General features: G+C 43.8%; 1 protein-coding gene across 41 annotated transcripts in view; it reads right to left on the reverse strand.

The window, feature by feature from the left end:
* Window positions 1-213: 213 nt before the first annotated feature.
* Window positions 214-12,125, reverse strand: part of DOCK9 (dedicator of cytokinesis 9) — a 295,191-nt gene continuing 283,279 nt past the window's right edge. For 36 of the 41 annotated variants that reach the window (XM_047430231.1, XM_005254035.4, XM_006719937.4 and 33 more), the window contains 5 exons: window positions 11,784-11,994; window positions 7,073-7,263; window positions 4,174-4,274; window positions 3,900-4,038; window positions 214-1,533 (listed from right to left, as the gene is read on the reverse strand). In XM_047430231.1, coding sequence (XP_047286187.1) covers window positions 1,411-1,533; window positions 3,900-4,038; window positions 4,174-4,274; window positions 7,073-7,263; window positions 11,784-11,994 — 765 coding nt within the window. In that variant the 3' untranslated portion in view covers window positions 214-1,410. Of the gene's footprint in view, window positions 1,534-2,990; window positions 2,999-3,899; window positions 4,039-4,173; window positions 4,275-7,072; window positions 7,264-11,783; window positions 11,995-12,125 lie in introns of all 41 variants that reach the window. The other 5 variants (NM_001318849.2, NM_015296.3, NM_001366676.2 and 2 more) reach the window with 1 other exon arrangement.

Here is a 12,125-nt window from a genome sequence, read left to right on the forward strand (position 1 = left end):
AGGTCCTCTGAAGACGTGACCCCTGCTTGTGAAATCCGTATCACAGAAACTTCCCCAAAAGCAGAGAAACTGGTATCATGCTTCCCCCGCACCCAACTTCAGCCTCCACAGTGACCAGCATTCTGTCAGTCCCGTGGTCTCTACCCACTCTTTTTTTCCCCCACTCAAGTATTTTAAAGAAAATTTCAGACCCCGTGTGATTTCACTCTGAGGATTTTGGTATCCTGTTCCCTTAGGACTGCTGAACAATAAACACCCAGCAGCCACCCCAAATGGTCAGCAATGTCTTTTTAATACAGATGTGGTACAGAATGTTTAATTACAGCAGGGCAGTGATTCCAGTTAAATAAAATTAAAAACCTTTATTTTCCCAAATATAAAATTACTAAATTAAAGTCTTAAAAGAAAATATAACATGGTGACAGCTTTAAAGTACACCACCATTCACCACAGGATTTATGATTTACCAATTACATACTCCACCATTTTGGCAAAAGGATGAAATTCTTAAAACTGTTTATAAACCTAATATAGTAAAGACTGTATACATCTCCATATTGCACATTTTTATGTACAAGAATAAAACATTAAAGTGTATTGCATATACTGGAACAGCACAAATTTATCACAATTAAACTTAATGCATAAGCCCATGTGAGTATTAAAAATGTAGAAATGTAATACATATATGTACAGAATGCCAGGACTGTATTAACAATGATATGTACATAACAATATACTGTACTACTTTGTACTTTTCAGCATAGTTGCGGTTATTAATATAGGCCTTTGGTTCTAAACTGCTTGACTAGTTTTAAGCTCACATAATTCCTTAAGCTTTCATATTTTCTTAAATGCAAGGAAATGAATATAAAAGCACTAAATCTCCTGGTTCACTGGTACAAAAATTACAATGGTCAGTTCCCTTAGGTCATCAAAAACTAGTCACAAAAATAGTTCTTGTATTCAACCTGAATGTGCCACAGGAAAAAAAAAATATTTTCAAGATTTTCCAGCTCAGCCTCGAGGCAAAAGGTCCCCCAGGCATCAATGTCAGTGCAGCCCTCCCTGCCATGTAGATCCCAGAACCTTTTTTTTCTGTAGGCCATCTATTCTAACACTACTCTGCAAGGAAGAATAAAATCTAAGTCCAGCTCAAGAGTGTCTACCACACCTTTGTTAAGACACAATGAAAACTTTGAATATTGCCAGTGAGATTTAAAAAAATATGTGCACCTTCTTACAACTCCTATAGAAAGTCTGTTAAGAAATAACGTTGTTCTTTATTTCCTTTCTCTCCCCTTCCCCTTGGTCCTCCCTGTGCTCGGTCTCCCCAGTGATTGGCTTTGGAAAGCATCCTGAGTTTGCAAATGACAAAGCAAGTCCCCACACACGGGCCATGAGATGTAATCACACGACCGAAGACGAGCTGGTCATCCCGTGAACCATTGTGCTTGTTGGAGTCCCACTGATGGCGTTGAAGATGTGAAGGGAATTCGGTAAGACGCTCGTCTTCTCCTCCAGGGGGCAGATCTTGAGGACAGAAACACAACGTTACTGAGGGCAACACAAGGTTACCATATGCAATGCCATGTTGCCATGTGTGACACAATGTTACCAAGTGTAACAAAATGTTACAGAGTTTAAGGCAATGTTGCCACGTGCAACACAATGTTACTGAGTATAAGGATGCAAGCAGATATTTCTCAATGTGTTGCACCCCACATCACACACACAAGTCTACACTCACTCCATCACGTGAGTGATGTGCAGCCGGAAAGCCTGGCTGCTGGTTTACAGAGGGAGATGTTCAGCTTATCTCATAAATGACTGTTTTCAGGTGAGGATTATAAGGAGAAAGTCAAGAACAGCACATTTTGTTTCTTTTACAAAGCTAGTGAATGGAGAGCCTTCTACGCTCACCAGATCATAAGGCAACGTGAGGTCTACTTAAGGCAACGTGAGGTCTACTTACATGTGCTTGACTGGGACACAACCTAGCCTTGACCTTGAAAAAGCCTTTAAAAATGAATTTGAAGCATTTGTGTTTCTCTCCTGCCTCCTTTTCTCAGGGTCTTACGGATTTTGTCTTGGGAGAGGGTGGCTACTCCTCTGACCCTGAACAAGTATCTTTCCATGCCCAGTGGTGCCTGGAAGGATCTGAGTGTAGGTCTTCACCTCCAGCAGAGGCTCCCCTGGAAACATCGAAAGCAAGTCTACCCCCGCCACGGCCCTTCAGGGGTTCACGGGGGCTCAGTCTTCACAGCTGTTGGCATAATGGGAAGTTCAAGGTGCAGCTGACAGCAAGTGCATTAAATATCCCTGTACTTTGGGAGTTTAACAGTTTCAGCCTATGATCTCTTACTACTTTCATCTTCTCTAGTGCCCAATGTCGGCACCCACTGACCAAACTCTCCATTCTATAGGAATCTGGAGGCTCCACAGAAAAGATCTCAAGTTTTCTCTGAAAATCGGTTCCCATGAGTCCCTCCTGTTCTGCTTAATTATTCAGACATTCATTTCTCTAATCGTTTCAATTTTTTTCTACTTTTTTTTTTTTTGAGATGGAGTCTCGCTCTGTGGCCCAGGCTAGAGGGTAGTGGCATGATCTTGGCTCACTGCAGCCTCCACCTCCTGGGTTCCAGCAATTCTCCTGCCTCAGCCTCCCGAGTAGCTGAGACTAGGGTATGTGCCACTACACCCAGCTAATTTTTGTATTTTTTAGTAGAGATGGGGTTTCACCATGTTGGCCAGGCTGGTCTCGAACTCCTGACCTCAGATGATCCACCCATCTTGGCCTCCCAAAGTGCTGGGATTACAGGAGTGAGCCACCATGTCTGGCCTCTACTTTTTAAAATGTCCAGAAGAGGGTGCTTTCCTCTGCCCATGTACTGTCATTATGCCAATGTCTGTAGTTGCTCAAACTCAAAAAAGTAATAGCTTTTTCTAAGTCAGATTATCAGAAAAATAATGTTTAAAAATGACATTACCATCCCAGCTGAACGTGTTAGCATGGAGGAGAAAAAAAGCAAGTGAGTTAAAGCTCACACACTGACGTTCGTTTCCTGCAATGAAAATGTACTAACTAAACTGTCAGGGGATAGGATCACTCCACAAACGGCCCTGGCTTCCACTGTGCCAGACTGAAGGACGATAATGGAGGGGCCAGACAGAGCAGTTCTGTGTTATCAAGGTGCTAATGTCAATTATAAAGAAAGGACAGTGACTGAGACAGACCCCTCACAAAAAAAACAATGTGGATGCTGCTCTAGGCATTCCCTGGGTATGGGACACTGTCTCCTCTGTGACAACTGAGCCCACACATAGAATCCTACTGAAGAAACCCACAGGAAAGAGATAACAGCAAAATAATCAGGGAAGATGCCCATAGTGACAAGGAACTTAAAGGAAGAATCCACTGGGGCGCCAAGGCCCACTGTACATCATCAAAAATGGAATCAGTCTGTATTTTTAAACAGCAAAAACATTGAATGCAACAGATAATTCCTTAAACCAGGTTGGCAAGTCCTGCTTTTTTCAAAGGATTAAAGGAATAAAGTTGTCAGAACAGTATGGATATTTTCGTGTGAGTTTTTCCTTTCTTTTCTTTTTGGCTAGACGGGGGTGGGGAGAGAGAAAGCTTAGGAAACATGGCCACCTCTTAGAGCCACGAGGAGGCGGGCCCGCTCTCCCCTGCTTGCCGTAGATAACAGCATATGGGCAATCTGTTAGCTGTTCCCAAATGACCTGGGGCTAGAGCATGGCAGGAGTGTGGTATGCTACATTCTCCTTCAGATGTCACAGTTCTGGAAGGATATCAGGCGGCCTAAGTCATGATAGGGTGTACTTGAAACCCCTAACCAAGAACTCCAAGTTGTTGGAGCCAGTGCGGCCCTCACCTGCTCATGCATGATTTCAGAAAGCTCCTTCGCCATTTCCCTGTAGTTGGCTTTCATTTCTTCCTGATACTCGAGCTGGTCTTCTTTAATCAGACGTTCGTTTACCGCTAAGGCTTGACCGCAAGCTTCCACAAATTGCCTGGAATGGTACAGGCGGGAGAAACAAAGGCACGCAGAGGATAAGGCATGAGTCCAACCAGCAGCATCTCCTTCCCGAATGAGTACAGAAATGATCAATACTCGAAGAGAAAAAGATGCTTTCAGTGTGCTTTACCTGAAAACTTCCTTAAGCAGCTTCACTTTATTGTCAGGATATCGCTTTGTGTTTGTATCATCTAAGAAAGCTCGCGCATATGCTAGTGGGCCAGCATTGACCTAGACAAAGAGCAAAGATTTTCAGTTCCACTAGGAAGAAAATCACCATGACCATCTGCTCAGTTTCAGTTTGCAGGCACTAAAAAGCCCGTTCGCGTGAGCTACTCACAATCCCTGCCTTCCAGGAACTTAAGCCCAAAAAGAAACCACAAAGTTCACTCTGTTGCACACCACTTGATTCCATGATCTCAGCCATCTTCAGGGCACTTGTGATGATGGTTTACTTTATGTAAGAAGAAACCAATGCTTGGAAAACTTAGGGGCCTGTTGAAGTTTGAAGAGCCAATAAGCAAAACGCCAGAGATCACAGCCCAGGTCTTCCAAATCCAGGTCAAGGATTCTTACTTCCAAGGTGTTTAGTCACTGGGATTTGTGCTGCACTACACTGAACTAACAGGCCAATCTGGTGAATTCAGTGAAAAATTGAAAAATGCAGTAACTATTCCAGTTTTTGAAACCCAACTGTTCATTTCATTGAATTGTATAGACAGCCATGGGCAAACTGATTTGCTATCCTGGGATGAAGTGAGCGTTTGCGGTGTGCTGGAGAGCTAGATGTTAGGAGCAGACAGCACGGTGAGTGAACCAGAACCCTGCACCACCCTTGCAAGCAGCTAAGAAGGGTCTGCTGATTCTGGATAAGTAAGGAAAGGTAAGAACGTGGTGAGAAAGAAGGCTGGACACACTGGGATGGGAAGAAGAATGTTCCAGGCGTCTGAGACAGCCTGGGGAAGAACGTGACTATGTGGTCACTGCTTGATATTTCCCGGAAGGTCTGGTGAGCTTAGCAAGGAATTAGGGGAGCTCCCCGTGTGTGGTTCTGACCCATGGTAGGCAGGACTTGTCTAGCAATGGCAGGAAAACTGAGCCACAGGAACTCACACCAGACGTGGAGACACAGGAGGGTTCCAGGTTCCAGCCACAGTGGTCAGAGGGGGACCTCTGAGCCGGGGGCAATGGGTGAACAGCCCAAGGTGCGTTGAGGGTGGAACTCAGCACCAGGCTGGTGCGTGGGGGGAACTGTATTCATCACCTGAAGACGACCAAAATGACTGATCATCTAAAATGATACAAGACGGTCTGTATTTGAAGAAGATAGAAAGAGGAAGGCTGATGAGACTCCATAAGGTCTAATAGCAAGATCTTGGAGTGCAATGACAAGAAGCTCCGCAGACGGCTCTGCCCAGTAAAGCTGCAGCGCCAGTGAGCTGCTTGATGAAACAATTACAGAAATACGCAAATAAAATGATAAAGTTAATTTCCTCTGGCTGCAACTTTGTTGTTACTTTGGTAGGTATGAGTATAAACTTAATCTTCTCATTTCAACATGGAATTTCTTGCTTTTTAAGATGACTGGGAATTTTATAAAATGCTAAGTTTACCATCAAATTAGCAGGGCATATTTTGCCTTTTACAAAGCTCAATGGTCCAGCCCTACCCTGGACTGGTGCCACACCCCTCCAGCGGCCTTTCCATAGGGGCTGGATGTTCCAAGATCATGTTGATTGAGTGGTTTTGTTTTTAGCTACAGAAAATTGTGGCCTCTGGACCTGTTACATAATCACTCATGTTGCTGGAATACTTATGTTCACTTGCTAACTTATTTTGGCACATATGTCTTTGAGACTATAAGGAAAGAGATTAAAAACATCTGTAAATGCTTTTGTGGTGAATGACACAAAAATGTTGGGCAACAACTCACGGTTCTTTAGCGTGGATCTGATGGGAAGTTGACAAAATATAATTTCAGAAAATGAACCAAAAAAACCAAAACCTATGTATTATAATCCACATGTAACTTTCATAAACATACCCTTCTTGAAAGATAAAACAATAGGATATACAAATACATATATACACACATGTACATATACATATGAACAAACATGTGCTTGAACTATATACACTTAAAAATACCAGAAAATAAGAGTCATACTTGTTACTGGAGGGAGTGATTTAACACTTACCAATTAACTAGGAAACCATGTAAGTAAGATAACTTTTTAAAAACCTCTTACTAAAGTATAATATACAAACGGGAAAGCGCATATATCACAAGTGTATACAGCTTGATGAATTTTCACAAACTGAACATATATGTTAGTATCTAGATCAAAGATGATCTTTTCAATAAATTGTGTATATCACTTGGAAGGTCATATGGAAAAAATATATCCTGACCCTTACACTATAACATATACAAAAATCAATTCCAGATGGACTGCAGACCTGGATGTGGATGCTGAGCAAAGGAGGAAAACCTAGGAGAACATCTGTGAAATTTTGGAGTAGACACAGATTTCTTAAAGAGAACATAAAAATGCTACCAATAAAGAAAAATTGATTGATTGGGCTATATTAAAATAATGAATTCATTAATCAAAAGATACCATTAAGAGGGTAAAACTTAAGGTACTTTTTTGGATACAATTTTCATAGAAAACAGCAAACAACAGTTTTATAGGAAAATCTACTGCTCTCCACACTTCTTTGTATTTAGAAGAGTCTTGATGCTTCTAATCAGGCACCCAGAATTCCCCAAATACTGACAAATCAGGGTAGTGTATGAGATCTGGCTCTTGTCCCCACAGTCAGTCCTCATGGGGCGGGGGGCAGGGATCATGAGGTTTCCTCCCCCTCTGATATCAGGAGAAATGTCACAGACGTTGGGGGAAGGGAGCAGGGATCACTTGGTAAACCGAGGCTCTCAAGTAGACCTTGTTAGTGGAAACGACTCTCAAGTCACCCAGGGGCAAGGACGTCCCCTGCTGCCCTCCGGCCTGCTGTGCCTGGCTCACCTGAACACTCACGCTGCCCTGGAGTTTGAGCTGCAGTTTGATCATGTCCACCTCGGCCGAGGAGCACAGCTGCCGGAGCTCCGCCACCTTCTTACTCATCTCGTCAATGGCCACCTCGATGGGGTTCAGGTCAGTGTGGTGCTGGTACATGACAGGGATGCGCTTCTTCACATAAGGGAAGCAGTGTATGGCTGCAGAGGGTAAGCCCCAGAATTACTGCATGGCTTGCACGAGCTTTAGTGTTATTGAGCTGATTATTATTAGAAGTGATTATTATACATGTCATTATTACTTACATTTTTAAAATAAGGAACCCAAAGCTTGCCAAAGACACATACTAGTACTTGATGGAGCTAGAATATTGTCTTCCTTTACAATCGTGTGTCTCGTAAAGTCAAGAGAGTTGGGTCCTTGTTATCCTTTTAATGTGACAAGCGTGTCTTTAAATAAATGAGGTTATCATTCCCCACTCAAACCTTCCTTGGAAGCTCTGAGGTTTGAATGAGTTAGTGGATATAAGATGACTTTGACAACATAAAAAAGACTAAACAATTTTGAGATACTACATAACAGATTAAGTCCAGAAAATAGTTCCATAAAAATATCCTTGAGAAAATTCATTTTTGTCCATAGAATAACTTTGAATCACATGCTAAGCTTGCACAAAGCTGAGAAATCAGTAGAAAATAATAAGTAAGAATATATTCCTAGGGTGGGTACAGTGCTCACACCTGTAATCTTAGCACTTTGGGAGGCCAAGGCTGGTAGATCACTTGAGCCCAGGAGTTTAAGACCAGCCTGGGCAACATGGCAAAAACCTAATTTTTGTAATTTTGTAAAAAATACAAAAAATTAGCTGAGTGTGGTGGTATATGCCTGTAGTCCCAGCTACTGGGGAGGCTGACACAGGAGGCTTGAGCCCAGGAGGTCAAAGCTGCAGTGAGCTGTGATTGTGCCACTGCACTCCAGCCTGGGCTACAGAGTGAGACCCTGTCTCAAAAAAGAAAACAAAAACCATTCCCCTAAAACCCAAACCAAAAAAACACAAAGAATATACTCCTAAGCAAAGGATTTCATGAACCAGAAATTCACAAACTTTTGGAGCTGTAGTGCTAATAAAGGTATTTTGAAACTTACAGCAATGAATAAGAAATAAAAATAAAAATATTTACTTTTTCTTATATATTTTTTAACCAAAAAAATCTGATTAATATTGTTTTCCTTTATCATAATGAGATACCTAAACATCAACACAAAGGAGTTAATTTAAAAATGAACAGAAAAACAGCAGGTTCTCATTTACTATTTCACATTTCTTATTGCTCTATATAATATAGAAATATCTATAATATTCTCACTTGACATATATTTACTAATAGGCAGGTAGATATGTACTTAAAAGCTTATTATTTTTTTTGAACAAGCAAACGTCAGATGGGAGTGGTCCTGGTCTCTAGTTAGCAACTGGCTAGGGAAGAGTTCAATTGGGAAGGACTCATCACAGGATGGGAAACAGGCCCAGCCCCTGTGAAACACAGAGTTCCGATGGGCCACCCAACATCTGGACAAAAGCGGAAAACATGTCCACCCTGAGGCAACCTCATATGTCACGTACTTATAGGCCTGTTGCCTTTTCACAATGTTTTATCAGTGAAAGGTGAAGGGTTCCCGACTTGGTTTCACAGATTTTAAGTGGTAGCACTGGGGATCCACAAAGCTCCCTGGTAGGATGGTGAGGACTCGGCCTCGCTGCTCCCTAGTCAGGGAGGCAGTGCTGGCAGATGCCTGCTTGTATTTGGACAGGGGGCTGTGCTTCAGGGGAAGAGTGGGGCTGCCTTCCTGTTTCTGAGGAAGGAGGTCAACTCCAGGTTCCCAGTCTCCTTTTGCTTTGTCTGGAACACAGATCACGTTCTACCACGGTTATATTTACTCATCTGGGTACTGTTTATCATCTGTCTCCTCTGGCTAGAATGCCAGCTGCACAGGCCCACAGATGTCTGTTTCATTAGCCTGCCAATGGGAACATGGTCAGTGTGCAATACATTTTGTTGAATGAATGAATGCATTACTGCCCAAATGGCTGCATGAGAGTCCAAACTGGCTCTGGAAGGTGGACAATTAGGTGACCGACTGAGCCAGCCCTTTAGAAAGGAGGACGGGGAAGGCCCAGTGATAAGTATGGTGACTGCTGGTCTGTGTGTCTTGAATAGAAAGTGGAGGGCCGGAAGCTAATCCAGGTTTGGAAGACTCTGGAATAGTGACTGGGAAGAAACTCCTTGGCAAAAGTTCCATGAAAGAAGTGGAGGAGGCTTCTCCTCGCCCCCCTTCTTTGGGACAGGCTCAGAAATTTCCACTGAAGGAGGCTGGAGGGTGATCATGAGGTTTTTCAAATGATTGCACAGTTACAGTCAGCTGACTGGGAACTACCCAGAAAGGTGAGCCTTTTCCTGGTGTAGAGGGCAGGGAAGGCCTGGGCTCCCTTTGACCTTTGGAAGGCCAAAGGTTAGGTACAAAGCAATGCAATGGAAGAAGAACCTGAGGGGTTGATAACTTGAGGGAAAACCCTCAGGTCTAGCCTTCAGAACGCCCTGGTGTGTGTATCTAGCTCAACAGCGGATGAAATCTAGCAAAAAATGAAGAACGCTCTTTCCCTTGCTTCTTACTATTTACAAAGTTATGACAATATAATGAGATAAGTGTCCTAACTTGCATTTTACAGATGAGGAAACTAAGGCATAGAGAGGAAGAGTGACCTGCCCAAGGTCACACAATGAGGCTGTGACCCAGGCCTACAGGACCCCCAGGACAGCCTCGCCATTGCTTAGGCTGTCTCAACCCACAGCTGTGGACGGCAATCCCCAAGCCAACAACACAGGTGTCTGCCCCACCTCTCTCTGAAGCGCACTCTCTGTCCCCTTGTTCCCGCAGATACAGAGCATTGCTCATGTGCTTTATCTAATCTAAAGTAGTCTCTAACAAAATGATGACCTGTAACCCTGGAGAAATGTGCCCTGGGAAAACAGCCTATGGTAATGAATGTTTATGAATCCGTACACTGCCTTAACAATAACCATACTAAAAAATCCTGACCCTGACTCAGCAGTGAACTAGGTTTATTAAAGGCAGCAGTTCTCTAATCTGAGCATGCACCAGGATAACCGGGAGGGCCTGTTGAACACAAAGAGCTGGGCCCCGCCCCCAGAGTTTCTGATCCAGCAGTTTCGGAGGTGGGGACCTGGAACTTCCATCTCTAACAAGTTCCCTGGGGGTGCTGATGCTGCTGGTCCTGGACCAACCTTGGGTAACCACTGACTTAAAGGGTCAGAAGGAAAGTTATCACAGCTGAACCATAAACACTGTAAGCTGGTGATTCCCATAAAGTGATTCCATCTGGAAGCGCAGTTATTTGGCTTAATGAGAATTTGCTACTGATGTGTGCATTAAAAAAATAATTAAATTATTTGGGGTGGGGTGATGTTTGTGAGGACAATATTATTTGTGCTTTATATATGCTGTCTTCTTATTTTACAAGCAGGATTAGGGACACTTTAAGAACACAGTTTTGTTTTAACTTGTATCTCTTTTCCCTCATAGGGAGTGTGAAAAGCTCCCTGCAATACGCTGTCCTGGGCTAATTCATAAAAACCTGTATTTTTTTTTTTTTTTTTGTAACAGCTTTACTGAGATATAAACCCCACGCCATCCAGTCTCTCTTTTTAAAGCATACGCTTCGCCGGTGAGAGCTGATAAGCACCTGGGTGCAGCATCTCCACAGCGCTCCTTCCGCTTATTATGATAGTGTGTATTATTACCCAGACAGAAACTCAACAACCCCAACTTCCGGGGAGCAGGCCCTTTCCTGGTCTGACTTAACTAGGGCCACTCTTTGGAAGACGTGTGGTGAAAGCTGGCACACCTGGCATTCTCAACGGCCCTCCCACTGATATTTCTTGGTCAAGAAAGCATTTTATGTTAGGTTACCCCAGTGATGTCGCTGACCCTAATGAGGCAGGGATGGGTCAAGCTCTCCCACAGAAGGTAAAAATCACCCCAGGATGACTAGACACTTGCCAGGGACCGGGAAATGATGCAAAACACATTTCCCAGAGTGGGTTATCACTGGCTAAACAGTGCCAAAGGGATCAGTGAAAACTGCCTAAGCTGAACTCGTGGATAGCCACTGAATGCAGTGAGCTTCCTGGCAGAGGAGGCATTCAAGTGGCAGCTGGCCAGCCCCCGGGGGCAACAGCGTGGGGCGATCCAAGCTCACATCCCATTTACTCACAGCCTGAGACCGCTGAGCAGGCCATGCTAGAACCTGAGACAGGTGTGTGAGACGGGTCCCTCCCTGTGCGGAGACCCAGGACTGGGTGTGGCTGCTGGACCTGGAGTCCATAAGTCACCTTAGACTGTGTGCAAAAGCATCTAGGCACATAAGGCACGCCATTTTCATCAGATTCTCAGAAGGGTAAGTGACCTTAGATTGGATATGAGCTTCTGGTCTTGTGGAAGAAGGAAGTGTCAACAGATCAACAGAAAAACATCCCAAGTATTCAAAAGGAAGCACTAGATAAATGTGAAACTGAAATGGGTGTGGGGGTGGCTAACTGAGCTCGAAAGACCCTTCCAGTCCTGAAGCTTCTGAATCCCTCTGGACAGCTCTTTGGCGAGGTGTCCGGGCTCGTGTCCATGCGGCTTCTGGGGCCCATACCTGTCAGGATGGTGCGCCGTTTGCACTGCTCTTCCACCCCGCCCTGCCTCTTCCCGGTCTGCGTAAATGGCATCTCAAACATGAAGCGGCGGATGTTGTGGGATCTCTCAAACTCTGTTTTCCTTTCTTGCAACTCTTTTTCGTCAAAGAAGGGGATGACGTGAGTCACCTGGATGTATGCATACTTAGAATCCAGATCCTTAGGGTTGACCTTTAATTGAAACAGCACAATGGGAGATTGGTGCTCCATGAAGGAATCACTCAGTTCTTACCTACGTGGTATTTTCCAACATTTTATTTGTAAATATAACGGAGAGAAGAGTACAACAAACATCCACATAT

Source organism: Homo sapiens, chromosome 13 (assembly GCF_000001405.40).
Source record: "Homo sapiens chromosome 13, GRCh38.p14 Primary Assembly".
NCBI classification, from domain to species: domain Eukaryota; kingdom Metazoa; phylum Chordata; class Mammalia; order Primates; family Hominidae; genus Homo; species Homo sapiens.